This window comes from Homo sapiens, chromosome 15, assembly GCF_000001405.40.
Source record: "Homo sapiens chromosome 15, GRCh38.p14 Primary Assembly".
Lineage (NCBI taxonomy): Eukaryota > Metazoa > Chordata > Mammalia > Primates > Hominidae > Homo > Homo sapiens.
In genome coordinates, this window is record NC_000015.10 from 65,930,424 (window position 1) to 65,958,111 (window position 27,688).

General features: G+C 49.1%; 1 protein-coding gene across 25 annotated transcripts in view, besides 4 other annotated features; it reads right to left on the reverse strand.

The window, feature by feature from the left end:
* MEGF11 (multiple EGF like domains 11) overlaps positions 1–27,688 on the reverse strand; it is a 358,452-nt gene that overhangs the window by 35,125 nt on the left and 295,639 nt on the right. For all 25 annotated transcript variants that reach the window (NR_169555.1, NR_169554.1, NR_169558.1 and 22 more), the window contains 2 exons: positions 27,124–27,298; positions 400–520 (listed from right to left, as the gene is read on the reverse strand). Coding sequence is in view for 20 of the 25 variants with exons in the window: in NM_001385030.1 (NP_001371959.1) it covers positions 400–520; positions 27,124–27,298 (296 nt within the window). In the remaining 5 variants the exon portion in view is untranslated. The remainder of the gene's footprint in view (positions 1–399; positions 521–27,123; positions 27,299–27,688) is intronic.
* Positions 22,048–22,342: a silencer, noted in NCBI's record as "tiled region #15210; HepG2 Repressive non-DNase unmatched - State 10:DNaseD, and K562 Repressive non-DNase unmatched - State 10:DNaseD". NCBI's record gives its function as "represses a minimal TATA promoter and a strong SV40 promoter by Sharpr-MPRA in HepG2 and K562 cells {active_cell/tissue: HepG2 | K562}" and the evidence as "EXISTENCE:reporter gene assay evidence [ECO:0000049][PMID:27701403]".
* Positions 23,371–23,884: an enhancer, noted in NCBI's record as "OCT4-NANOG-H3K27ac-H3K4me1 hESC enhancer chr15:66246132-66246645 (GRCh37/hg19 assembly coordinates)". NCBI's record gives its function as "activates a minimal SCP1, AML or CMV promoter by ChIP-STARR-seq in naive H9 embryonic stem cells {active_cell/tissue: H9 hESC(naive)}" and the evidence as "EXISTENCE:reporter gene assay evidence [ECO:0000049][PMID:30033119]".
* Positions 26,668–27,171: an enhancer, noted in NCBI's record as "H3K4me1 hESC enhancer chr15:66249429-66249932 (GRCh37/hg19 assembly coordinates)". NCBI's record gives its function as "activates a minimal SCP1, AML or CMV promoter by ChIP-STARR-seq in naive H9 embryonic stem cells {active_cell/tissue: H9 hESC(naive)}" and the evidence as "EXISTENCE:reporter gene assay evidence [ECO:0000049][PMID:30033119]".
* Positions 27,172–27,673: an enhancer, noted in NCBI's record as "H3K4me1 hESC enhancer chr15:66249933-66250434 (GRCh37/hg19 assembly coordinates)". NCBI's record gives its function as "activates a minimal SCP1, AML or CMV promoter by ChIP-STARR-seq in naive H9 embryonic stem cells {active_cell/tissue: H9 hESC(naive)}" and the evidence as "EXISTENCE:reporter gene assay evidence [ECO:0000049][PMID:30033119]".

Sequence of the window (27,688 nt, forward strand, 5' to 3'; positions counted from 1 at the left end):
TGCCTGGGGCCTCAGGTGGTGGCGCAGCCCCTCTCTCCACGTCCCACCTCTTACCAGGTGGCCCTCACTCCCAGGCTCTGGGAACGCTTTCTTTTGTCCCTCCAACCCTAAGAGTGATAGCAGCTTCTCCCACAGGTGTTAACGTGTCTCGGTTGCACACTTTCCCTGTGTGCTGTTTAGCTCTTCAAACAACATTGCAATGAATCCCCTCATTACATTCCTGCTATTGAAATTCCTGGCATGGGTTTTCTTGCCTGGAACCCAACCAATATAGGCTCCCTGACCTTGCATGTGGGGGCGGGGGTTGGGGCAGCCCCACCTGAGACCCCTCAGCTGGCAGCACCACCTGGGGAATGTGCTCATATGTCAGGGATGGGCTTGGGAGAGAGGGCACATTACCTTCCTTGCAGGTACAGGAGCCATCTACTGGGGAGCAGGTGCCACCATTGTTACAGCTACAGATGGACGAGCAGTTGGGGCCATAGGTCCCTGCTGCACAGGAAACGGCACAGACCTCTCCCTGGAAAGGGAGGGGGTGAATTTTGGATCAAAGGTTGCTCCATGTTGGATGGCTGTGGTAGGCAGGATAATGACCCCTGCTGCCCCCAACATGTCCATGTCCTAATCCCTGGGATCTGTGAATATGTTACCTTACATGGCAAAAAGGGACTTTGCAGGTGCGATTACGGACCTGGAGATGGAGAGAATGTCAGGCGTTCAGGGGTTATCCAGGTGGGCTCAATATAATCATGAGTCCTTAAGAGTAAAAGATGACCAAAGAAGGTAGGTCAGAGAGATACACCATGAGGAGCCCTCCACCCGCTTGTGCTGACTTTGAAGATGGAGGAAGGGGCCACGAGCTGAGGAATGCAGTGGCCTCTAGAATCTGGGATCAACAGCTCTTTTACAGCTACCAAGAAAATGAGGGCCTCAGTCCTGCAATCAGAGGAACTGAATTCTGTCCACACTGTGAGCGAGCAGGAAATAGACCCTCTCCTAAAGCTTCCAGGAAGGAACATGGCCTGCTGGCACCTTGGCTTCAGCCTCGTGAAACCCATGCCAGACTTCTGACCTTCAGGACTGTCAGATAATAAATTTGTGCTGTTTGAAGCCACTAAATTGTGATTTTTTACAGCAGCAATGGAAAACTAATATAATCCTTCTCAGTTATTGGAGGGGTCAGGCCTCCAGACCACAATACCAGGGACCTTGACTCCAAAGTCTGTATTAGGTCGAAGAAGCACCAAGTCTAACCCATTGTCTCCCAATCTTATTTCTCACCCATAACCCCATGACACGAGTAGTAATATCCTATCCGCATTTGCCTGAGCCTCAGAGAAGTTAAATGTAAATGATAGCTAATGCATATTGAGTCCTTTCTCAATATCATGTGCCATACACACTATCTCATTTAATTGTCACAGCACTCATAGGAGATAGAAGCTACTGCCTCAGCATTATTCTCACCTAACAGATAACTGCATGGAGAAGTTACTTAACTCTGCCAAGGTCACAGAACTAAACCCAGTTGCTCCTTGCTGGAACCCAGGCTGGCTGCTTAACCATTACATTACCGGGGATCCTAAACTGGCTACCCTGGAAAACATTCTGAGATAGAGATTAGTGAGCTCTTGAGAATAATCCCGATGAGAATAATCCCGATAAGGGATAAGGGAGGCGGTCGAGGCTGAGGAAAAGTTGAACCAAGGCACAGTTACAGTAACTTCTGCTGATCTGGCAGGAAGCTCTGAAGCTGAGATGACCCCTGGAGTTGTCCCACATGGGGGTAAAGGGAGGGAGATCCTTTATGCCTCCATCAATCACTGGCCATCCACTGGGATGGGGGAAGGGGCCATGACTCCTCAGGTGAGTTGGCTAACTTGGAGGGCGATGTCTATAGAGGGCCTCACCTGCGAGCCACTAAATTTCTGGCAGCTGGGGAAGAATGAGTGCTTCTGTCCTGAGGGGTGAATCTGGGCGTCCACTCTACCGGTAAGTGGGTATGCTGTTAGCTCCACTAAACAATTTGGACGAGGGGCAAGTTACAGGGTAGGAGACCAGGAATGGAGGCTTCAGAGGCCTTGAGGGGTGGGAGCATTTAATCAGAGAAGAGTGGGGTAAAGGGGATCCAGGTAGGAAGAGGGTTGTGGACAAGAGTGCAGAGGAGTATGAGCTGGGAATGTGCTAGGGGTGGCTGAAGGGAGGAGTGAAGGAGATAGGTAAAAGTGGGGCTGGGAGTCTAGAATGCCAGGGGAGGGAGTTCAGGCTTTCTTCCCTGAGTCCCCCAGGACATGCTTCCCCACTTAGGAACCTACTGTGGGGCTGTCTATGCCGGAGCAAGTGGTCACTGGATGTTGAATTCCCACCTCCAGCCCCTAGGGAGTGTCTCCAGCCAGCGTCTCAGGCCTTACACCTAAGCTTTCCGTGGGAATCCTGATAATAAATTTGTCTGGGCTGGGAGACCAGAGCTTGTCTGGGCCCCACTAGCTGTGTGACACCAGATATGTACTGCCCGTCTCTGAGTCTCAGTTCCCGCATCTCTGAAATGACAGGCTTGGCATAAAGGAGCTCCCTTCTCAACTCTAAGGGTCCAGGCATCTGGCTTCACTCCTATGTGGGCCACAGAGAGAACCGAGGGTGTGGGTCTTTGCCACGGAGAGGCTTCTCTCCAGCCCTTTTCTGCTTCTGTCTCGCCCTTGGGGGCAGGGAGTGTGGAGTCCTTCCCCGAAGGCCCCACGGTTCCTGCTCTTTCCCCCACCAGTCCCCAGCAGGCCTGACCAGTTGGAGTCTGTCAGCTTTCCCATTACCCAGAAAACTCCAATTTCTCCAAGATGATAAATAGCACATAAGAATCTGACCTCTGAGGGCCTTGGACTGGGTGCAGACTGCAGGCACAGCGTATGCCTTTCTCTTCATGAATCTGCTATCAGAAGGGGTTTCTCTCCCAGTGTCCTCATTAGTGTCCCAAACCCTGATCTCCCTGCAAGGCCTCAGGTTGCCTGTGAGCCCTGTTGCAGGTCTGTTGATGGGGCTCAGAGAGGCCTCCTGCCCTGGCCGTGATCCATGGGACAGGATGCAAGAAGCCAAGCTCGACACATCTGCTCCCCACAATGCCGTGTCAGTTTCCTCCCAGAGAAGCCTATGCCTGGTCTTTGCGACAGTCCTGGGAGGCCACTGGGCTGAGATGGCTTTCTGCTTCCCAGAGAAGAAAAGGGAGACTCAGAGAGGGGCAGTGGCTTATCCAGGACCCCTGGTGTGTTAGTGCCAAGGTTAAGGAGAAAGAACCAGATCTTCCATCCTGAAAGGCAGCAGGGGTGAGGGATCAGAGGGTGGACTCTGGTACCATCCTGCTTCCACAGCTTATTCACCATGTGACCATAGGCAATTTACGACATCCCCTGAGCCTCAGTTCCCACATCTGTTAAATGGGAATTAAAATGTCCTCTTCTCATAGGATTAAGAGGATTAAATTAGTTATTGTTTGTGTAGCAGTTAGAATAGTGCCTGATGGGTAGAAAGCACTATACAAGCTATTAGTGCAAAGATATAGCATCTCTTAGGGAAAGAATACCTTGTTTACCTTTTTATCACCTTCTCTGGGCTGGCTCCCTGTTCCCCCTCACAGCTGACACAGGCTGGAACTTTTATCACCACACACTACAGGTATGGTCTTGGAGGACGGAATGACCACTCCCTGAGGGCCACTGTTCCAAACACTTTGCATTTGTCAGTTCCTCTGATATTGTGAAATATAAGGTCTTCATCCAGTTTCCTGCCAAGCAACTCCTGGAATCCTTAGAATCTCCAAAGTGAGTTTTTGTTTGTTTGTTTGTTTGTTTGTTTTTGAGTCGGAGTTTCGCTCTTGTTGCCCAGGCTGGAGTGCAGTGGCACGATCTTGGCTCACTGCAACCTCCACCTCCCGGGTTCAAGCGATTCTCCTGCCTCAGCCTCCTGGTAGCTGGGATTACAGGCATGTGCCACCACACCCAGATAATTTTTGTATTTTTAGTAGAGATGGGGTTTCTCCATGTTGGTCAGGCTGGTCTCGAACTCCCGACCTCAGGTGATCCACCCACCTCGGCCTCCCAAAGTGCTGGGATTACAGGTGTGAGCCACTGCACCTGGCCAAAAGTGAGGTCGTTTTGTATGCTAATGACTGATGGCTGCTTCAGGATGGGGGCTGGTCACCAGAAAGACCAAGGCAGGATTAGAAAGTTGGGACTTACAGCCCCACCCGCTGAAGGGGGAAGGTATAAGGAAGAGGGGCTGAAGTTTAAGTTGATCACCAAAGGCCAGCAATGTAATCAATGATTCCCATGTAACGAAGTCTCCATAAAAACCCCAAAGGACAGGGTTTGGAAAGCTTCTGGAGATAGCTGAACATATGGAGGTTCCGGGAAGATTGTGCACCTGGAGAGGGCATGGAAGCTCCATACCCCTTCCCACATGTCTTGCACTCTGCATCTTTTCATCCATATCCTTTGTAATATCCTTTATAATAAACTGGTAAATGTGTTTCCCTGAATTCTGTGAACCTCTCTAGCAAGTTAATTGAACCCAGGGAGGGAGTTGCAGGAACCCCGATTTATAGCCCATCAATTAGAAGCACAGCCAAGGCTGGGCGTGATGGCTCAGGCCTGTAATCCCAGCGCTTTGGGAGGTTGAGGCAGGCGGATCACGATGTCAGGAGATTGAGACCATCCTGGCCAACATGGTGAAACCCTGTCTCTACTAAAATACAAAAAAATTAGCTGGGCGTGGTGGTGCACACCTGTAGTCCCAGCTACTTGGGAGGCTGAGGCAGGGGAATCGCTTGAACCCGGGAGGTGGAGATTGCAGTGAGCCGAGGTCACACCACTGCACTCCAGCCTGGGTGACAGAGCGAGACTCCGTCTCAAGAAAAAAAAAAAAAAAAAAAAAAAAAAAAAAAAAAAAAAAAGGCAAAACAGCCTGGAGCTTTTGACTGGCATCTGAAGGCAGGAGGGTGAGCAGTCTTGGGGCCTGAGCCCTCCACCTGTGGGATCTGACGCTATCTCCAGATAGATAGTGTCAGAATTGAATTGGAGGGCACCCAGCTGATGTCTGCTGCAGAATTGATTGATTGCTTGCTGCTGGGGAGAAATCCCCACACATCTGATCACAGAAGTCTTCTGTGTTGATTGTTGTTGAGTGGGAGAAGAGAAGAAACTCTTTGTGTTTTTTTTCCAGTCAGCTCCTAATAGCAAAAAGTCCAAATGGGGAATCAGAGAGTTTCTAAAGTGCACAGCTCTGCCCTGAAGGAGTGTAACCTTGGCACAGCTAACTTTGAGCACTCTGCTCTTCCACCTCACTGTCCCGGCCCCCTGGCCTCAGTACCAATGCATACCAGGTTCTAACACCTCAACAAGCACAAGTATTACACTAACTGTTAAAGTTTTTTGTCAAATTCCCTAACTTCTAGCCTCTGATCTGAGGGTGAGGCCTGGTGTATAATTGACTGGCCAGTCTCCGGTGATTGATGTTCATAGCAAGCCAATCACGAGCCTATCTCAGATTAGACTATCAGCTCTGCCCACCCCGGCATATCCCCTGGCCCAAGGTGTAGTGATACCTTTTTGATTTGGGGGACCACTAACAAACAAGCCTTAATCATGATGGTCTGTGTGGGACCCAAGTCTACATGGGTTGGCATTGATGTCCACACGTGCTCAGGCAGTCAGTGTATACATCTGTGTGTTTCTGTGGGTGTTTGCCTTGGGTATGTCTGTGTACATTTTCTCCTGGGTGTCTTCCCTGACACTCCTCTCCAGCCCACCAGCCCTGCCCTGGTGGGAATTGGGTGCATACATAGCAACCTTCATCCTAGCACTGGATGGTTGTGGTTGGCTCAGTGCCTTCCTCCACCTTAGGCCTGTGAGCTCCGTGGGGATGGATCTGATTGCATTCATGTCTAGATTCTCAGAGCTTGGGCCCCTGCTGGTACATAATGGATCCTTGATAAATGTTTAATTGAAATGAGATGTTTGTGTGTACATGCTGGCTTCTACTGTGGACAGGAGCAGAAGGACTTGGCACTTTCCATATGCTTTCTCTTGTATGCCAGGCAATTCAGCAAATGTTTGCTGAGTAAGGGCCAACTCTGAGCTAGCCATGTTGCAGGCTCCAAGGGCACAGAAGAGACTGGGACCCAGTCTCTGGCCTTGGGCAACTCCCAGGCAGTACCCACACAGGTATACTCATGCCTACATCCAGGTATGTTTCTTTGTCCACTTATTTACTCTCTGCCTCTCCCAGAGAGACTAGAAGCTTCATGAGAAGAGGGGCCTTACCTGTCTGGGTTCCCCAGTACCTGGCACAGAGTATGGGAATTTTGTAAATAATGTGTGAGTGAGGGGCCCTGGTAGGCTGGGTTCTGTGGTTCTCATCACACACAGGCAACAGAATATTGTCTAGTCTAAGGATGGGCCCCATGCTAACACACTTGACTCTGAGCCTCCATGGGGCTCTTGTGAGAAAGGAAAGCCAGGAGATCCTGGTCTATGCTTCCATGCCTCACCCCATCACCCCCTGCCCAACTCTGCCTACCAGAGAGTGAGAAGCACAGGCAAAAATTACCCAGTTGGCCTCTAGAGTATCCACTCTGGGAGACAAGACCTTCTGAGCTGAACAGACATTAGAGATGATCAAATCCACTATGAGCCAAAGTGGGCCCGCAAGGCAGAGCTGGGACTTGCAGGCCACTGCTCCCAGGGAACTGGCTGCAAGGGTTGTGCTGTCTACACCTGCCTCCTCCTGCCTAGAGCCTGACCCAAACCAGCCCTCAGTTCATGTCAGTTGATCTTGTCACACACTGGAGAAAAGGCCAGGATGAGAGCCAGGGTTGTGAGCTGGGGAGTTTGCATTTGGCATGTCATGTGCTTTGCTTAGCCTAGCAACTCTGCCTACTCCCTCAGCCAGGCCTGTCCCCTAAGGTCCTTTATTGAGGTTGTTCCCCTAAAATCACCATCCGGAATTCCTGCTAGAAGTAGTCTATCTTCTCTTCCGATAGATTCATGTTAATGCAAGATAATGTACAGGCCTTGGTTTCTTTATCAATCATCTGAGGCTATTGAAACCAGTCTCCCCAACTTCTCACCACTAAGGACCCTTGTTAGTATTCTCCGCCTACAAAGCCCTCTCCATTTGAAAGACACTGCAGTCACTCTGGGCTGGTGTCCAAGGCCAGTCATATATTGGACAAATACAATTTGGCCAGTGGCCACATGCCATGTGACTCTAGTGGCAGCCTCTTGTCCACCAGTCATGATCTAGATATTCCTATGATGTCACCTATGACCAATCAGAGCTTCTGATCAGCACACACTAACCAGGGATATCACATAGAGTTAATTTAATTCTAATTAAAAGCAAAAGAAAAACCTTGGTGTTTCAGTTAACTTCATCACAGGTAATACAGGATTTCCTGTAGGTTTTGTGAAATGTACCAAACTGCTCTTGGCAACCTGCTGCAGCCTTTGCAAGTGTCCAGCTGGGAACCACTGGCTATGTGATCTCTAAGGGCCCTTTAGCTCTGACTCTGAGCATCTTCTTGCCTGGACTGGGGGTCTTAACCCAAAGGTGTGAGGAATGGTAGGAAGGAGGGCCAAAGACGGGGAGCCCTCTTGGGCTTCTAAGAATCCCACCAGCTGTGGTCCACCTGCTCTGCTAATGCATGGCCTCGGCCTGGTCACACACCTGTCCTAATGGTGGGTAGATAGCCCATGATGCTAGAGCTGAAAGGGACACTGGGAATCACCTGGTCCAGCTGCCTTGTTTTATAGGTGAGTAAACTGAGGCCAAAAAAGGGAAAGTGACTTGCCCAAGATCACACAGCCAATGCAAGGTGAACATTCATTTGGAACTCAGATCTCCTAGCTCCCATTTGGGTCACAGGATGCTAACAGCCTAAATGTGGGAATTCTGGGTTGGCCTGTGCCATCCCTGTTGATATGGAAAGTGCACTTGCCACCTAAGCACAGAGCAAGACATCCAGAGGACATGGCCCTGATCTTGAGGGAGTACCACCCACCAAGGCCTAGATGCTCTGACCCTTTCTTAGCACCTGGAAGTTGATGCTTGGGTGTCTTTCTATCTTCATCTATCCCCATCTCCCCAGTCCACACCACCTACAGGGCAGGTCCCCATGCTTCTGCTGGGGATGCCTGCCAGTCCTGTTCAGCATCTTTTTTCTGTGAATGCAGAATGAATGTGAACCCTTCCTCCCATCCAAAGGCCTGTTAATTATAGATGCAGTACTGGCTATTAACATCTTGAGCTTGATTTGAAAGCACTACTAACAAACCCTCGACGCTGGTCCCACTAAAGATGCAAATCGCTCCTCTACCTTCCACCTGCCTCCATGCATAACATGATGGCACAGGCCCAGACCCCGGTGGGTAATGAGTTGTATGTTCTATTAAATTTGTTTCAAATATTGTTTATTGAATTTTCTCCCCTGCAATATGCTGCTTTGTAGTTTGGCCCTGTTTGGGAAAATTAATCAACAGCTGAGCTTCTCATGTTGATCATCTGTTTTCCTTGCAATGGACAGGAGGTTAATGAGTATTTTTTGGACTAATTGGAGGAGGATGGAAAGTGGTTGACCCTCCCTCACACAAAAGAGGGAGGCAATTGTGTGAGTCTGTCTTCTAGTCCCCTTAAATATGCTCTGTGGGTAGGAGGCAGTGTAAATGGAGTGGAACTGAGTTCTCTAGATACAGGCCAAGGTGGCATGAGCCTGCCAGCCTGTGGGAGCTCAGCAGAGATCACTCTGGGACCAGCAACCAAGGAAGTTGGCCTGGCTCAGCTATCCTTTTGTTGGAGGAGTAGGTGGGGTAGGATGACTCAAGGCAAGAATGGGTTCTGGACCTGGGGACAGAGTACATAGGTTCAAGTGAGGCAAAAGCACTAGCCCAAGGTGACTTCCTCATTCATTCATTCAATCTGTGTTTCTTGAGCATCTATGACAAGCAAGGCACTGTGATAGGCCCTGGGTCTTGCTAACCATTACACTAGACTAGATGAGACCTAAGGTCCCTTTCAGCTCCCAACTTTTTTTTTTTTTTTTTTTGGAGACAGAGTCTCGCTCTGTCGCCCAGGCTGGAGTGCAATGTTGCAATCTCAGCTCACGGTAACCTCCACCTCCCGGGTTCAAGCGATTCTCCTGCCTCAGCCTCCTGAGTAGCTGGCATTACAGGCGCATGCCACCACACCTGGCTAATTTTTGTATTTTTAGTAGAGACGGGGTTTCACCATGTTAGTCAGGCTGGTCTCGAACTCTTGACCTCGTGATCCACCTGCCTCAGCCTCTCAAAGTGCTGGGATTACAGGCGTGAGCCACCGTGCCCAGCCCTCTTTAACTCTCCCCCAGCCCTCCCACTTCCAGGGCAAGTTTCCCTGTTACTGCTCCTTTGTGTCACTTACCACAGTTGTAATGAAATAATCATTTAAAAAATTCAGCTCTCATTTACTTGATTGCAAGTTCCATGAGGATAAGGATTGAGTCATTTGTGTTCAGTACACATGGGTTGAATTATTCAGACATTCAGGAAATGTTTCTTAAGTGCCAGTATGTGTCAGACACTGTGCGAGGTCAGGGGATACACAGGGAGTGGAATAGAGCTTGTCAGTAATGTCTAGTGGCTAGACGGGGTGGGGCATAAAATGAGGCTGTGGCATGAAAGGGGCACAGGCTAGTCCCTCCCTACTTCCATGGGTTCTGCAGGCGGCCTGTAGTGGCTCTGGTTGCTTCTGTTCATCACCCCAGCCATTCCTGGAGTTCCGGAGCTACTAATGGGGACTGCTTTTGGTGTCCAATGCCGCATCCATGCCAGCAGCACACAAGAGTTGCATGCTTTACTGTTTACAAAGCCCCTTGCCAAGCAAGTGCCTGCTCCTTGTCAAGCAGAATGCCAGCCCTGGGCTGCTGCACTCTCCTGCCCACCCTTGTCAGTCACACCCCACTCCCAACTCTAAGCGCTAGGACAGTGGGACTCCCAAGTGGGGAGCCTTATTTGTAATTTCCTAGGGAGAAAGAGTGACACGTGGCCCACAAGGCAAACAGAATAGCTTGTCCAAATGCCAGCCACAGCAGCCTCTCCAACGCAGAGCAAACCTCGCTGGACCTAATTGGTGCGTCACTGATAAAGCAGCAACTGACAGCAGGTGCATGTTGGGGAAAAGAAAGTCTGCATAAGGTATGAGGAACAGAGAGCCACAGGGATGAGAAAGAGAGAGACTTGGAGGCCACTTGTCATATCCATCCCTGACCCTGCCTTCCTATGCTGAGGGAGAAATGTCCACAGCCTGTGGGGCTGAGTCATTCTGTCTGGCTCCCATGCAGGTGGGAGGAGGAGAAAGGTTAGGACTGGAAGCCCCATGTAGTATTCACTCTCACTTATGTCTATCAAAAATGAATAGGCTGCCAGTGATCTGAGGTTACTCTGTGCAGTTGTGTAGGGTGTGCACTGCACAAATCTAGAGGTTTTATTCAAATGACAGTCATTATAGATTTGTGTATATATTACATCAGTTTTCTGGCAGATGTCAGTAGAATGTCTTGAGAAAGGGGTAACTTATTCTAATTTGCACAAATATGTGATATGGCTCTGACATCTCAAGGGGCCTCTTTGGAGGAGCACAGACACCTTCCAACAGTTCCCAAACAGACACCAAAACATTTCAGAGAGATCTGGCTGGGTGCAGTGACTCATGCCTGTAATCCCAGCACTTTGGGAGGCTGAGGCAGGTGAACTGCTTGAGGTCAGGAGTTTGAGACCAGACTGGCTAACGTGGTGAAAACCTGTTTCTACTAAAAATACAAAAATTAGTTGGGCGTCGTGGCAGGCATCTGTAATCCCAGCTACTTGGGAGGCTGAGGCACAAGAATAGCCTAAACTTGGGAGGCTGAGGCACGAGAACAGCTTAAACCCGGGAGGCGGAGATTGCAGTGAACCAAAATTGCTCCACTGCACTCCAGCTTGGGTGACAAAGTGAGACTCCATCTCAAAAAAAAAAAATTCAGACCCAAGAGGCGGTCCATGTGGCCAAGAAAAGGTGTTTTAGATCAAGTTGAGGCCGTGCCACTTACTGGCTGAGTCATCCAGGGTGCTCCTAGGGACTCAGTTGCAGTTCTTGTGGAGCAGTTTCTTTTCTCCTCTGTATTGATGCTCTTGTGCTACCTGTAGCCCCTTCTCCTTTTCTAACCATTCTCTTTCCTGAGATTCTGTACCGAGTTTAGAGAAGGCATTACTGGCTAATATGGACTTATTGAGCAAACTCATGAGAGGTATTTGTACTTTACTAGGAGACCCAAAATCTAAAATCTCTGGAGATGTTTGCACAGTATATGCATGATGGCCAGCCCCAGGAGGGAGTGGGGAGCAGGACCCTGGTCCTAACCAATGACCACACCCCTTCACCCCTCCAGACAGGGCTGGCCCTGTGGCTTAGGGCAGACCCACACATCCCTAGTGCTGATGACAGGAGAAAGGAAACTCCATATTTTTCACGCCCCTGCCCCTTGGTGACAGGCTTGTGCCAGGCACTTTTTTTTTCCCTCTTATCTCCTTTTGTTCTATAACAGCCCTGCAGGGAGAGAATTCCCTTCCTAGAGAGAGAACTATCCTAGAGAGGGTTTGCAAACCAAGGCCGGAGAGGTCGATTTGCCCCAGGTCACAGCATGGGAAAGGGAAGGGGCAACTGATTCCAAAGCCCAAGTTCTCTCCCCTAGACCAGGCTGCCTTGACTGCACACAGGTTGGAAATGATGGGGACTCAAATGTCCTGAGCCCATGCAACGTGCCAGGCTTGCTACCAGGTGCCTGTGATGTGTAATTTCATAATCTCCTGTCCTACCCATTTGTTGTTAAATATGTGTTGACAATGAAGGCAGAAATGGCTTATGGGGGCTTATGGAGGGAACTCTTAGGGGGCATTTGTATCTTATGTTGTTAGGAAGCTCCTGAAGTACAAAAGGTTTCAAGACTTTAGGGTATAAAGCTAAGATGGCGGAATAACAGGCAGTGGGAGTGAGTTAGTATTTAATAATGTATATCCTTTGAATGAGAGAAAGCTGGTTTGATGATGATGATGATGATGACTATGGTGGTGGTGGTGGCGGTGCTGTGTTGCTGCTGCTGACCTCAGATGCTATCAGCATCCCACATCCAGGCAGGTCTCTGCCCTTATTTAGAAGGAAGGAGCTTCCTGCTGCAGCTTTGATTCCCCGTGCCTGGCCTCATCTCTCCCTGCTTCCCTGGCGCTGAGCCCTGTCCAGAGCTCTGTGGTTCCTGAGGGGCTGGGGGTGAGGATGGTTATGGCCACAGGGATTCAGAGCATCTCTTACAGGTCTGCTGGGACCTGCTCCCTCTGAGAACAGAATGAAGCTTCCCTGCAAATCCTGGGCCTCAGTCTTCAGGGGTTTCTGGGCAATCATTGACAGCATATGACCCTAATCAATCTATGTTAGGTTTCATGATATCCATAGTGCTAAAAACAAAACAAAACAAAACAAAAACAAAAAAACAACTTGGCTTTTTTTTTTTTTTTTTTTTTTTTTTTTTTAACACGGAGTTTTGCTCTTTTGCCCAGGCTGGAGTAAAGTGGCACAATCTCGGCTCACTGCAACCACCGCCCCCCGGGTTCAAGCGATTCTCCTGCCTCAGCCTCCCGAGTAGCTGGGAGGCACATGCCACCAGGCCTGGCTAATTTACTAAAAGTAGAGACGGGGTTTCACCATGTTGGCCAGGCTGATCTCAAACTCTTGATCTCAGGCGATCCACCTGCCTTGGCCTCCCAAAGTGCTGGGATTACAGGCATGAGCCACCACGTTCCACCCAAACCTTGTCATTTTTAAGTGCCAAAAAAATTGCCTCTAAACTTCTGGGAAAACCTATGTTGGGTGTTGGGGGAGGTCTTTCTGAGCATTTAGAGGAGTATGTATGTGGACCATGGAGGCAGGGAGGGGCACAGGCTGGCAACTTCTCCACGTGCATGTTCTGCAGGCTGTTTTGGTGAGCTTGTGTATGTGTGCTAGCGGTGGTATATATTCCTGATGTATTTCGTGTGATTAACACGTGAGCCCTATGTGTGTCAGAGGTACTAGATGTACATGTGCTCTGCATGTATGGAGAGCAGGTTAGGGATAGGATTTGGGCCTGCTGTCCCAGTGTCCTGGTTTGCATGGTAACTTAGAGGGTCACCCCCTACGTGATCCATGTAGTATGTGAGTTTGGTATGTGTGTGTGATATGTATTGGTGGTGTGACAGCTGTGGGGCAAGCTTAGCATCTGCATGTCAGACATCTGGGCTGATCCTGGCCATGAAGCCCCAACGGTGATTTGATCATAGTGGCTTTGAGCATGGTACGGGTCAAAGTCAGGGAGGGGTGGCTTGGATCTATAGGGTATACATGCATGTGTACCGTAAAAGAGCCCAGCGCCCTAGGTGAGGGCTGTGTAGTGTGGACTTGGGGCAGTGGCCTGCAGAGCCAGAGTCTGACAATAGTGATGGTGACAGTGTCCTAGGTGGGAGCCAGACTGTGGGGGACAGAGGGTCTTGCAGAGGCTAATAAAGAAAACTAGGGTCCAAGTAAAATGCGGTGCATTCACATTTTAGGGGATGCTTCTAAACTATCTGTGCATTTATTCAACACATATTTACTGACACTCTGTGCAGGGGACTGTGCCGGGCTTGGATAGGCTGGGGGTTAGGAGGTGGCAGGGTGGGGAATAGAGTAGGCACACAGGGATGAAATGGACAGATCCTTGGAGCTTTCTGTTTAGTAGATGGGAGAAAAACATCCACAATGTGCCACCAGAGTGGGTATGTCAGTGTCCTGTGGAAAGGCTCTGTCCCATAGGGAAGACAGCAAGAAGGCTTTATAAGGAGGTGGCAACTGAATGGAGACTGGAGGGTGCACCAGCAGGATGTGGCTGAGGGGGATGGAGAGCAAGGGTATTCGAGGGAATGGGCAGACTGAACAAAGGCGTGGCAGTGGGGCCACACGTGGGTTGGGGGGCTGCAGGGTAAGGCAGTTTGGATTTGCTGGAGTTCAGGGGTTAGGGAAGGGTGATGAGAGGCAGCAGCAGGAGCCTGGAGGTCAGGCTGGGCCCAGCCAGGATGGCCTTGAGCGACAGGCATGAACTTTGCTTGGGAGATAAAAGAGGGCCCCCTAGAGCAGGTGAGTGACTCAGTGTTCCAGCCTGTTTTAGAAAGGTGCCTGGGCCCTTCCTCTCTGGCTGAGAGTCTAGACTCTGGCAAATCCAATTGCTTATTGATTGTGGAGTCATTATAAAAACAATTATAGGCTGAATGCAAAGACAGCCCAGAATTTAACACTGGAGAGGCTTTTACTAGAGAACAAAAAAGGAGTTGGGGTGGGGACGGCTGCCTCTACTGTCCAGTGTCCTCTGGTCCATCCGCATCCCCAACTCCCCAACTCATATAAACTCTCAGGTTTTTTTTTTTTTTTTTTGAGATGGAGTCTCACTCTGTCACCCAGGCTGGAGTGCAGTGGTGCCATCTCAGCTCACTGCCACCTCCATCTCCCGGGTTCAAGTGATTCCCCTGCCTCAGCCTCCCGAGTAGCTGGGATTACAGGCGCACACCATGCCTGGCTAATTTTTGTATTTTTAGTAGAGGTGGGGTTTCACCACATTGGCTAGGCTGGTCTCGAACTTGTGACCTCAAGTGATCTGCCCTCCTCGGCCTCCTAAACTGCTGGGATTGCAGGCGTGAGCCACCGTGCCCAGCCCCTTGGGTTTTTAAAGCTAGTTTCCTCTAGATTTTTCTGGCCCTAGAGGTTTCTCAGTCAAGTTCTCACAGAGTGCCTCACCACACAGAACACGGGCCTGGAATGTGCCCTCCATGAAGGCACCCAAGCCCAGGAAGGGGCAAGTTTGATGGGAGCTCAGGGCAGACTTCCCTGCAGGGCAGACCTGGTGTGGGGCTGCAGGCCTGAGGGAGGAGAGGGGAGCAGAGCTACTGAGGGAGATGGGGTGGGAGGGGGCACCCTGGGGAGCAGTGAGGGCCTGAGGAGGGGCTCAGCCCTGGGCTGGGGAGTGCTGAGATGCCCCAGAGACTATGTAACCTTGCCACGCCAGTTTATTTATTGGTAAAATGTCGGTGGCACCATCACAGCCCTCAGAGGGCAGTGAGAGCACATGAGATGGTGTTTATTATGAGTGTTTTGTATTGGAGAACAGTGATACGGATGGACAGCGTGGTGACTGGGCACTCCATTCCTGCCACCACCTGGGGAACGGACACCTCCCCTGAGCTGCCTGACAGGTGCCTGATTCCCCCATCATTTGTCAGCCATTTCCAAATTCAGCTCTCCTGGCTCCATCACCCCCAAGGCCACAGTTAAGGTTTCATCCTGTTGGGGGCAGTGAGGATCACTCTGGGTTTACCCGCAGCTCACAGGCAGGGGCAGGCGGGCGTGTCAAGCTCATGGACTATGCAACCTGACTATTGGGTTCAGGTCTTGGCCCTGGGGCTTTTTGGACCTTGTGCAAGGTGTTAACCTCTCTGTGTCTTAGTTTCCCTATCTGCAAAATGGGAATTACAATAGTATCTTCTTCCAAGGGTAGTGGTGAAGATGAAATAAGTTAATATATGTAATGTTCTTAGAACAGTGCCTGGCCCAGAGTAAGTGCTATAGATGCTTTCAGCGTTTTATTATTACATATGACCCAACAGGAACTAGGCCCACTGCAGGTGCAAGAAGAGGCTATGATTTACCTACTCTGTGCCAAACACTTTTGTAGAGCTTGCCCTGTCTCATGCTCACAACCGTCCTACAAGAAACATCCACGTGTGAGGCGAGCAAAGGGTGAACCTACCCTAAGCCACCCAGGAGGTGAATGGCAAGGCTGAGATGCAAACTCAGGTTTCCCTGACTCAAAGTCCATGCTCTCCCCACTCTGCCAAGCAGCCTCCAGTGAAGACATTTGGGGAGGATGGGATCCAGCATCTACTGAGCACCTACTACATGCTCTATCACCCAGGCTGGAGTACAGTGGCGTGATCTCGGCTCACTGCAAGATTCAAGCTATTCTCATGCCTCAGCCTCCCAAGTAGCTGGGACTACTGGCACCCACCACCATGCCCGGCTAATTTTTGTATTTTTAATAGAGATGGGGTTTCACCATGTTGGCCAGGCTGCTCTCGAACTCCTGAGCTCAGGTGATCCACCCACTTCGGCCTCCCAAAGTGCTGGGATTACAGGTGTGAGCCACTGCACCAAGCCTGCGTGCTGGTTCTTATTCTGTGACATCACCATCTCCCGACACAGAGAATGGAGGTCAAATACAGTACTGTTTTGTCACAACCCTGCTCGAGACGGCAGTGGCTCCCTCTTGCCTGCTGACTTAAGCACAAGACCCCACCTTGGCATGCAGGGCCCACCTGCTCTGCTCCCACTCTTTTCCTTCCACTCCCTCCCTACACCCTCCTCGACACCTGTGCCTCATGGCCAGGGAGCCCCTGACTGGCTTCCCTGGGCCTGTCTCAGGGAATTATATCTCCCTCCTCAGAACTTTTAGGAGAAGCAAGAATATGAATTTTTTAGTGTTTTTGGGAGATAACTTTTAAATAGATTTTTTGTTATGTTTTTTCTGTTTTTTGCATTTACCCCCATTGTTAGTTTTCTTATTAGCCCCACTTTGAAATAATTTATTCATGACCTTTTTTTGCAATATCCTTCATTTTCCAGACATAATCACATCTTCTGGCAGGAATCCCTTCCCCTCCTGGGGTTGATAATTACTCTTGCAGATGGAATTATCGGCACTAATGACTAAGGGAGAGGTGGCTGGGAGGGGCTGGGCTAGGGGGCTGGGGAGCTGGGGCACTGAAGCTTGAGCGCAGGGCTAGCAGGAGCTTTCTTTGTTCCAGGCCTGCAGATTTTGTGGGGGGACTAGAGCCTGTGGGCTCTTCTGCACAATGAGGGTGCAAACGCTGACCCCCTGTCTCCTGGGGCTGGTGTAAAGCTCCAATGAAACAAGCTGTTGGGAAGGATGGGTAGAATCCCAGAGTGCAAAGTGGGGATGCTACAGCCCCACCCTACAGGGTTGTTGTGAGGATTAAACACAATGTACATAGAACAGAGTGCCTGGCCTAGGGCCCACTGCAAAATATGAGCCATCATCACCCCCATTTGGTTGTCTACTTTCTCCAGACCTTTCAGGGAGGCTTCTCTGATTTGTGGCCCTATCCCTGCCCTCTAGAATTGGTGAGGTCAGACCCAGGCCCTGGGTTCTGGCTAGGACTGGGAGCCAGCAGAAGCCCCATCTATGCTGAAGACTTGGACAAAAAGAAAACCGGGTATACTTAAAGCATAGATGCCGCAGATCTGCTCCAATAGCTTCTTTTGCTGCACAGAGATTGCTGCGGCCACTAGGCCTGAGACAAAGCCCCAGCCCAGACCCCAGTAATGAGGGTACTGATAATAAGGACATCAGGAACATGACAGCAAGAGGGTGGTCTGAGATGGCAAATGTTTATTTTTTAGAGTAGAAGAGTCAGCAGTTTTCCCTAATAAGCTGTACAGTGGGGTCCCAGAGGGGGAAGGCTGGCCTCATCTTAGTGACATAAAACCAATTTTCCCTACTTTGCTCTGTGAATTAATTGACAACATGACTTAACCCCCTGGTGACTCCCTTTGTGCCCCCACCGACCTGCCACCCCCACCATCCCTCCCTGCCCAGGGAAACATCAGTACGTGTCTGCTGTGGGTACAGGAAGCTCATGAGATGGAGGTAAAGGTGGAAAGAACAGTAGGCTGGGAGTCATGTCGCCTGTATTCCATCCCAGCTCTGTTACAATATGCTGTGTGACCTGAGGGAAGTTCACTTTCCCTTTCTGACCTTGTTTTTTTTTTGCTGTGCACTGTGGAAGCCCTGAGCATTCTTCCAGCTCCACCATTATGAAGCTGTTTTACAGTGTTACACCTGTTTTACAGCGTTACACCCTGCATCTCGCTCAGTGCGCATACCGACCCCGAAGGGCTGGCATTATTAATCCATCTCACCAATGAGAAACGGGCTCTAAGAGGCTGTGTTTCCTAAGGTCACACAGCTACTGAGTGACAGATGTGGGATTCCAACCCAGGACTGTCTGATTCCAAAGTCCATGTCCTTTTGCTTGCAGTGTGTCTTCTCTCCACAACCACATAATAAACCCTGACAAACATTTACTGAACATTCGCTACGTGCCAGGCTTTGTTCTAAATATTTTATCTAATTCAATCCTCAGAATAACACTACAGCATAGTGCCATTAATTATCCTGTTTTATTGATGAAAAAATGAGGCTTGAGAAGCTTAAGTAACTCCAACAAGACCACATAGGAGGTGATAACAGAGCTAGGACTTGGGTACTGGAGTGTGTGTGTGTGTGTGTCTTATTTTTGGATGATCATTTCTGCTATTTTGCAGTGTTTGTACTCCTCTGTTCGCACAGGCATGGCAGCTAGAGGATGAATTCCTCATTCCCGGTGCTGCATTCAGGAAAATCTTTTACTACAGTAATTGGGAAATGAGTCAATAGTGGGAGGTGAGGGGATGAGAAGCTGGTTTTCTGTTCTTAGGGCTAACAGCCTGTAGATCTCAGCTTGATGAAGAATGAAACAATTAGAAAAGAAAATGCACACACATGATATCCATGTCACCTGGCTGTCATTTTCAGTCTGCATTCTCTACTGGTCACACTTCTCTCACTCCCTAGTTCCAGCTTAGGAGCCACCCAAGAGGTGGACACGCACTCTGCCCAGCTGGGGGAGGCCGGGGGAGCGTAACGTCTTTAAAGGACATTGGAAACCTTGGAGGGAAATTCAATCACTGCTCCACTGATCTGAATTTTCATAACTCTTGCGCCCCGCTCCCACCTTCCCTGGTCAGAACAGCTGAGGTTTCTGTATGACCTACCAGTGGCACAGAGAAAGGTGAGAAAAATGCAGAAACAAATTTGTTCATTTGGGTGATGGAGTGCCTGCTCCCCTCGCCAGCATGCAGGGTTGAATAATGGCAGACAGGGCTTCAAAAAATTGCAGCATAAATAGATGAGCCCTTTAAGGTAATAGAAATGCTGTCATCCTGGGGAGAAATATGGGCCCCAAATCCTATGGGAGGGGACACTGGAGCCCCTCTCCTCTGCTTCCCGCATTCCCGTCTCCATCACAGTGGAGCTGAAAGGGAGCATCTGGGCTGAGGAATGGCCAGAGGGCCCCTTATCTTCCAGACACGCAGGACCCATGCGGGAGGAGGCAGCCGGAAGGGGGTCTGAGAAATCAAGTTTTTGCAGCCCTGGCAGTGACCTCACAGACAGTTCACTGCAGGCACCAAGGTGGCAGTAATTAGTCCTACAGCAGTGGAGGAGGCTCCATCAGTCTGGCCGCCTAGGTGAGGCCTTAATTAAGGAAAGGAAGCCTAGTCAGCAGAGGAGCATGGTGGAGCCGAGAAATCAGCCTTCTTCCCCCGTGTGAGCAGGAAGTCTATTCTCGGTTCTGTGGCTGCTCTTGGGAACCCAGGAGCCCTTCGCAACCCTGCTGTTCCCAGCCAAGGGAAAGATTCAACTAACTGCTTCCTTTCTCTCACCCCCATTTCCACCTCTACCCCCAAACAGGGCACTCAGGCCAGGACCAGTCATCCTCTTCAAGTGAGAGACCCCTTGGTGTAAATAACAACAGCAGCAGCAGTAGTGGCATCATCATCATCATCAACAGCAATAACAGCTAATGCTTGTTGAAAGATTACTAATATGCTAGACATTCTAAGCACTTTATATTTGCTAATTAATTTAGTCAGCCCAATAATCCTACAAGGCTATGTTATTATTCCTTTATATAAGAAACTAGAGGCAGGCTGGGTATAGTGGCTCACGCCTGGAAATCCAACATTTTGGGAGGCCAAGATGGGCAGATCATGAGAGGCCAGGAATTCGAGACCAGCCTGGGCAACATGGCAAAACCCCATCTCTACAAAAAAATCAGCTGGGCATGATGGCGTGCACCTGTAGACCCAGCTACTTGGGAGGTTGAGGTGGGAGGATCGCCTGAGCCCAGAGAGGTCAAGGCTGCACAGTGAGCCAAGATCGCACCACTGCATTCCAGCCTGGGCAATAGAGTGAGGCTTAGACACACAGACACACACACACACACACACACACACACACACACACACACACAAAAGGAAATAAAAGAAACTAGGGGCACAGAGAGGTACAATATCTTGCCCAATGTCACACAGCTAATATGCAGCAAAGCTGGTATTCGAAGGCAGAGAATTTGGCACCAGAGTCTCTGCAAACCACTACACAAAATTTCATAAGGCAGAAGCTCATGCCACTGCTCAAAGAATCTGGAGATGGTGTGTCAGGGGTCAGCTGCTCCAGTCCCACTGTAGCTATCTGTTTACATAAATTTCAGAGAAGCCAACAGGTAGAGTCAAGTCCCAGCCCTACTGGCAAGGCCTCTTGGGAAATGCCATGAATGTCCTTACTGTAAAGCTCAGGAATGTTCCAGAAACTTCTGCTTTAAGGGCATTGGGTCTACCAGGGATTTCATTCATTTCAGGGAGTTTGCTGAGCAAGATATTTGTGTGGTAGGCATTGTAGGCTTGTTAGGAGGTCCAGGGTTAGAGGGAAACATGTTATTGTCCTTAGGGAGATAGAACCTGAGTATGAGCCACACACAGTGGAAACAAAGGGATGGAATGGTTAATTCCGAAGAGAGGAGTATTCAGGGAAGGCTTCATGGAAGAGGCAGCCTTTGATTTCCTGAAAGGCTGAGAAGGATTTTCATAGATGCGATAGGGACTATGGGAAGGGCATTCTAGGAAGAAAGAGAGGTTTGAGAAAAAGCACAGAGGCCCCAAAGAACATATAGTAGTGCCCCCTTATCCTTGGTTTCACTTTCTATAGTGTCAGTTACCTGAGGTCAACTGTGGTTTTAAAGTAGGTTTGTGGCTGGGCACAGTGGCTCAAGCCTGTAATCCCAGCACTTTGTGAGGCCGAGGCGGGCAGATGACATGAGGTCAGGAGTTCAAGACCAGCCTGGCCAACATGGTGAAACCCCGTCTCTACTAAAAATACAAAAATTAGCTGGATGTGTTGGCACATGCCTGTAATCCCAGCTACTCAGGAGGCTGAGGCAAGAGAATTGCGTGAACCCGGGAGGTGGAGGTTGCAGTAAGCTGAGATCACGCCACTGCATTTCAGCCTAGGCAACAGAGCAAGAGTCCATCTCAAAACAAACAAACAAACAAACAAACAAAAAAACCCCAACAAAGTAGGCTTGTACAATACAAGAAGATATTTTAAGCCTAAGATGAGAGGATTGCTTGGGGCCAGGAGTTCCAGACCAGCCTGGGCAACATAGTGAGACTCCATCTCTACAAATTTTTTTTTTTTAAATAGCTGGGCATGGTGGTACATGCCTGTATTCTCAGCTGCTCAGGAGTCTGATGCAGGAGGATCACTTGAGCCCAGGAGTTTGAGGTTACAGTGAGCTATGATTGTGCCATTACACTACAGCCTGGGCAATAGAACGAGGCCCTATCTCTAAAAAAAATTTTTTTTAAAGATATTTTGAGAGGCCACATTCACATAAATTTTATAGCATATTATTATAATTGTTCTATTATTAGTTATTACTGTTAATCTCTTATTGTGTAGTACATACAGAATTCAGTACTGCCCACAATTTCAGGCACTGGAGGTCTTAGAATGTATCCCTCATGGATAATGGGGACTACTGTACTGTGTGTGGGGAGGAAATGAGTTATGTGTGCTACAGATTGTGGCAGGACTTAGTGGGAGATGAGATTAGGGTAGACTAGGTTCGAGGGCATATTACAAAGGCCTGGGATTTGAGGTTTATTTGGTGGGCAGTGGGGAGCCACAGAGAGGGGTGATGTGATGCCAACCTGCAAGTGGATGGACAGCTCCACTTAGTCCCCTCATCCACAATTCAGCTAATTCCCTAGCTCAGCGGGGTGTGAAGAAAGGTCCTCACCTCCTGGATAGGATCATCCTCACAAAGACAGGTATTTCAGGACTCTGCTGGCCTGACCACTGTGTCATATGACCCCTCACTCTGCCTTCTCCCATCCCTGTTCACCCTGGTGTTCTGTCTGGGCGAGGACCCTGGATTCTAAGAAGGCACAGAGTAGCCTTGAATCCCTGGCTCATGAGGCTGTCCAAGGTGCTGAAACGATGCCGTTTCCACTTGTAAGCACTCCCACTGGAATGACTAGCTCCCACACCACTGTTTCCGATGGGCAGGGAATTTCATTCCCATTTTATAGATGAGAAATAGAAACCCAGAAAGTTAGCAGAGCTAAAGCTACAAACTCATTTCTTGTTTTCTGGTCCAGGGCTCTTTGCCCCCACTGGGCAGCCACAGTGCAATTTACCAATGCATACCCCAAGTGATTCTATCACTGCTGCCAAACAAACATGTAAAATGCCCAGGCTCTCTTCCCACCCCCATCTCTATCTCCATTTCCCCAAATGTTGAGAGGCTTGTCCACTCGTACAGTGCCCCCTGAGACCGACCATTCAGGGTGACCCACAGGTGCTTGGGTGGACCTGCCTAGAACAGCAGTTGTGCACGTTCATGGCTCTGATCCATCAGGTATCCGTGGGTACAGCTCATCCCAACACCCTCCTACTGGTATCACGGGCATGGGGGAAGCAACGTTCCCCCACTACTCTCATAGCTTACCGGTAATTGCTGCCATTTCACCAAGTGTCTGTTGTATTTCAGGCACTGGCTTTGAACTTCTCATATAATGTTCCTAATTCTCATAAGCAAAGTCTTGTTTTAGCAGATGAGGAAGTTCCATGTCAGGCAGGATAAGTGGCTTGCCAGTAGTCAGTGTGGGGATTGGAGAGCTAGGATTTGAACTTAGATTTGTCTGGTTCCATGGTCACCCTTCAATCAAAGCTCATCAACTAATATGAGAGTTCAGTGTCTCCCACCACCGCTGGCTTTGTGATCCCAGGCAAGTCGCTAATCCTGTTTGAACTCCAGCTCCTCATCTGCAAATTGAGGAAAGTGAAAGTGCATCTCCATGGGCCCTTGTGAGGCATAAGTCAGACGAAGCATGCAGCCAGGATTCAGTGAGTGTTCACTGCTAGTGTGAATGTGCTTATTACTAGAACACAGGTTCCTGGATGGGGGTCTGATTAGTCTTTCCACATCCCCACCTGCCCCCTAAGTCCTAGCAGAGGAAACATCCAGTATTTCACATTTCAGTGAACAGGATTCCACTTCCAATGTCCTGGGAAGGAAGTGGAAGTGTGTGAAGGCCAATCCAGAGCCCCAAGCAGGACCTGCTTCTGCCCCGTGTCCCTGTGCTCTCGGGGGTGGAGACCACGTGACTAGGGCAGGCATGCCACTGAGCTCACAGGTGTGGTTCTGCACTACTTCATCAGCACTCCTCACGTTTATGTTGAGCCCGAGACCATTCTCAGCCCCTAGAGTCTACTTTCATAAAGCTGTCCCAATATCCTCCCTAAAGACCCCGGGCAGGGAGAGCTGGGGTGGGAGGGGACAGCTGAGGATGCGGTTTCACATCCACTGTCATGGGGGATACTCACATCCAATAGCAGGCAAAACTGATTTACTCCTCCCATCGTTCAGATAGGGAAATGGAGGCCCAGCAAGGTAAAGCGACATGTCCAAGATTACTGAGCCTAGAATGAAGGTCTCCAAACACTCAGAAAAGGGCTCCTTTAATTAGTCCTTAACTGACTACCTATCCTAAAATCATTCAAGGATAAAGGCGCGTACATACATTCACAAACCAAGCAACCAACAAAGGCATTGCTAATTATTACTGACTGCGGGACATCTTGAGGCGAGTCTCTGCTGAGTCTGCTCTGCTGATTGCTCCTACTTTGACCAGAACTGGCTGATTGTGGGAAGTTGCATTCACTCAGAAGCTGGAGTGAGGACAAGAGTAATGGCTTCCCCCTCAGGGCTTGATGCATACAGGAGTGAGTCATGCTGGTTGAGAACAATGAACTGTTCTGTAATCACCTCCTGCAGCCCCTGCCCAACATCCAACAGAGCCCCAGAGGAGCCTTTCCAGGAATAACGAGGCTGGGTGGGAGGAGATGGATGGGAATTCGCTGGGTCTCACCAGGGCAGCTTGACTCACAATCTGTATTAGCCCTGAGCCCCAGGCAGGGGGCATTCCACAGTGAGATGACTCTGGCATGCACCTGTGCCCCAAAGTTCAAGGACAGGAAGTCATTTGCATCTCAGGTGCAAGGAAGAGAGGCAGTGGCCTGGCCTCCAGACTGTTGGAGCACTGGGGACAGTGAGCAAACAGATGCTAGTCTCCCAGGCCTTTCTGGGGCCCCAGTTTTCCCTTGTTCTGAGGAGAAATGAGTAGGCAGGCAACTGGGGATAAAGAAGGGGGAACAGGGAGGAAAGACCCCCAGCAGACACACAGACAATGTATATGACCAGACCGTAAAACCCTCAATGAGCTTCCCACTCCTATGTATACACATACCTTCTTGCTCCTACTTTTCCCCTTTTCCCCCAGAACAGTGTTTCCTGACTTGATCCATGGAGTCCATACAGTGGACCATCTTAGAAGTTAATAGGTTCTTCTCTCTCCCTGTATACACCCCATCCACAGATGCCCAAAGTCCTACAGCTATGCTAGAAGCCAAGCTGGGACAGGGGTCACCCATGAGCAGTGTGGTGCAGTCACCTGACCACTTGGCTACGTGAGATTTTTTAATCCCAAACAATTATTCTCTCCTACCCAAATTCAAAACCCAGGGCACCTCCATTTTACTGTGGAAATTACAACAAAAAATGTACACTAACAAAGGTAAATTAAGAGAAAACCAGACTTCCTTCTCTTTCAAAGATGCCAAAGAGTTCATTTTTACCCAGTTTTATCTGCACTGGGGAGGAAGAAGGGGGATTGTAACTGTTTTTTTTTTTTTAATCTTAGTATAATCTTAGTAATGTGTTTTTACTTAAACAAATATATTTAGGCCAGAAGTGGTGGCTCATGCCTGTAATCTCAGCACTTTGGGAGGCCAAGGTAGGTGGATCACTTGAGGCCAGGAGTTCAAGATCAGCATGGCCAACATGGCAAAACCCTGTCTCTACTAAAAATACAAAAATTAGCTAGGCGTGGTGGCACATGCCTGTAATCCCAGCTACTTAGGAGGCTGAGGCACGAGAATTGCTTGAACCCAGGAGGCGGAGGTTGCAATGAGCCGAGATTGTGCCACTGTACTCCAGTCTGGGCAACAAAGTGAGACTCTTAAAAAAAAAAAAAAAAAAAAAAATATATATATATATATATATATATATATATATACACACACACACACACACACAATACTTTAAATATATAACATGTAATCAATATAACAAAATGATTGAGGTATTTTATATTCACCTTTTCATACTAAGTCTTGGAAATCCAATGTGTATTTTCCACTTCACATCTCAATTCAGAACTAGCCACATTTCAGTTTGAACAATGTTTTGTTCTGGGCCTTGCTCTGCAGACCAGGGGCAACCTGGCTTTAAAAGACATTGTCACCAAGCAAACCCTCGCTTGATCTACAAGAATTCCCTGTGGATCAGTGGATCTCCATCTTAGCAGCACACTGGCCTCAGCCAGACCATGCCTAGACCAAATACATCAGAATCTCTGGGAGTGGGGCCCAGGCATTGATGTTTATAAAGCTTTCCTAGTGATTTCACTGTGCAGCCCAAGTTGAGACCCATGGCTACATATCAGCGTCCTACTCAAAGTGAGGACCACTGACCAGCATTATTGGTATCACTTGGGAGCTTGTTAGAAATGCAGAACCTCAGGCCCCATCCCAGACTGACTGAATCAGAACCTGCAAGTGAACAAGGACCACAGGTGCTTAGAAAATTTACTACTGCCTGAGAAGCCTGCTAGAATGCACTCTATATATCCCATCTTGACACCTGATAGCAACCTTGCGAGGCAGGTGTTCTATTTCACGGGTGAGGAAACAGAAGTGAAGAGAGGTTGAATCACTGGTCCAAGGTCACACAATTGGTGAGTAGGATAGCCAGGGTGCAACCTAGGTCTGGTTCCAAAGGCCACACTCTTTCAACTGCACAATTGTACCACTTCCTACAGCACAATTAAACATGGCCATAGAGAACCCCTGAGTGTTTGGCTCCTTGAGCCTGCTGGGCATGCCCTGCCTTTGAACAGGATTCCACTTCCAATGTCAAGTTCCCCAGAAACAAACCTCATAAAGACCAGCATAATTCATGAGAAAATACAAATTGTAAACAAACATAGGGAAGATGTTCACTCTCCCTCGTAATCAGAGAAATGCAAATTAGAACAACATTGAGGAACCATTTTCTACCTACATAATTAGCAAAAATTAAGAAAACCTTAGCAAAGTTATTCTGAAATAGGTACATTCATACACAATTGGTGGCGGTGTAGATTTATAGAACACTTGAGGAAAGTAATATGGCAACATCCATCAAGAGCCGTAAATATATTATGCCCACTGACCCTGGGAATTCACCCTAAGGAAATAATTCAAGGGTGCGGTGAGGGAATGCTATTTGTATGAAGATGCTCACTGCAACATTCACTGTTAACACTGGAAACAATATTCAGCAGTAAGAGAATGGCTGAATAAACTGGGGGTACATCTGCTCCTGCAGTGTTATGAAGCCATTTAAAATGATAATTAAGAAGCCTAAGCAGCAACATAGCAATGTGGGTGAAAGAAAGCAGAATGCAAAACTGTCTCTGTACATTGTGGTTTTTCTGATGTAAAAATATTGTGTGCATAAGGATATGGACAGGCAGGAGCTGGGCACAAAGGAAGGCAACCTTCAGAGTTGGGGGTGATGGAAAGACCCCCTCCTCCTATTATTTTTAGTATTACAAACCCTGGCCCTTTGAGAACAGCTTCAGGGGCTCTCCCCTCATGAAGTCTGTCTCTGAGGCGGACACAAGGAGGCAGCTGGGTGCAGGGCCACAGTCCTGATTGCACCAGGAGGTGAGGGGAACTGGCCCGGTGGAGGTCAGGAAGGCCACGGGAGGCCCCTCCCATCTTACCATGAAGCCCGGAGCACAAGTGCAGCCCCCAGTGATGCTGTGGCAGTCGGCGCCATTCTGACAGGTGCAAGGCAGCTGGCAGCCATCGCCATAGTAGCCAACAGGGCAGGATTCATTGCAGTGGTGACCAGACCAGCCTGGCTGGCAGGTACAAGCTCCAGTTACTGGGTGGCAGCTGCACAGATGAGAGAAGGGTGAGAAGACAGCTTGTTCTGGGAAGCAGCCATGTCCCCGCCCTCTGTCTACCCCAAGCCTGGCTTGCCTAGGGTAGCAGGATCAAAGGACCTCTGGGATTAAATTGCTCAATGCCTTTTCTGTTTATCAGAAGATGCCAAGGCCACATGGTCTCATTAGCACCCAGAAGCTGAGGCTCAGGGTGATTATATAACTACCCTGAAGTCAACAGCAAGGAGAAGTCAAGAGCGGGATTAGAACACAGGTCTTCTGACTCCCACACAAGCCTTCTTTATAATTCAGACACATGGAAACCAAAATGGAGAGTGGCCTTTTAGTCCCTTGGCTTATAGACTATGCAGTCCAAGGCTTCATCCATCCCTCACCTAAG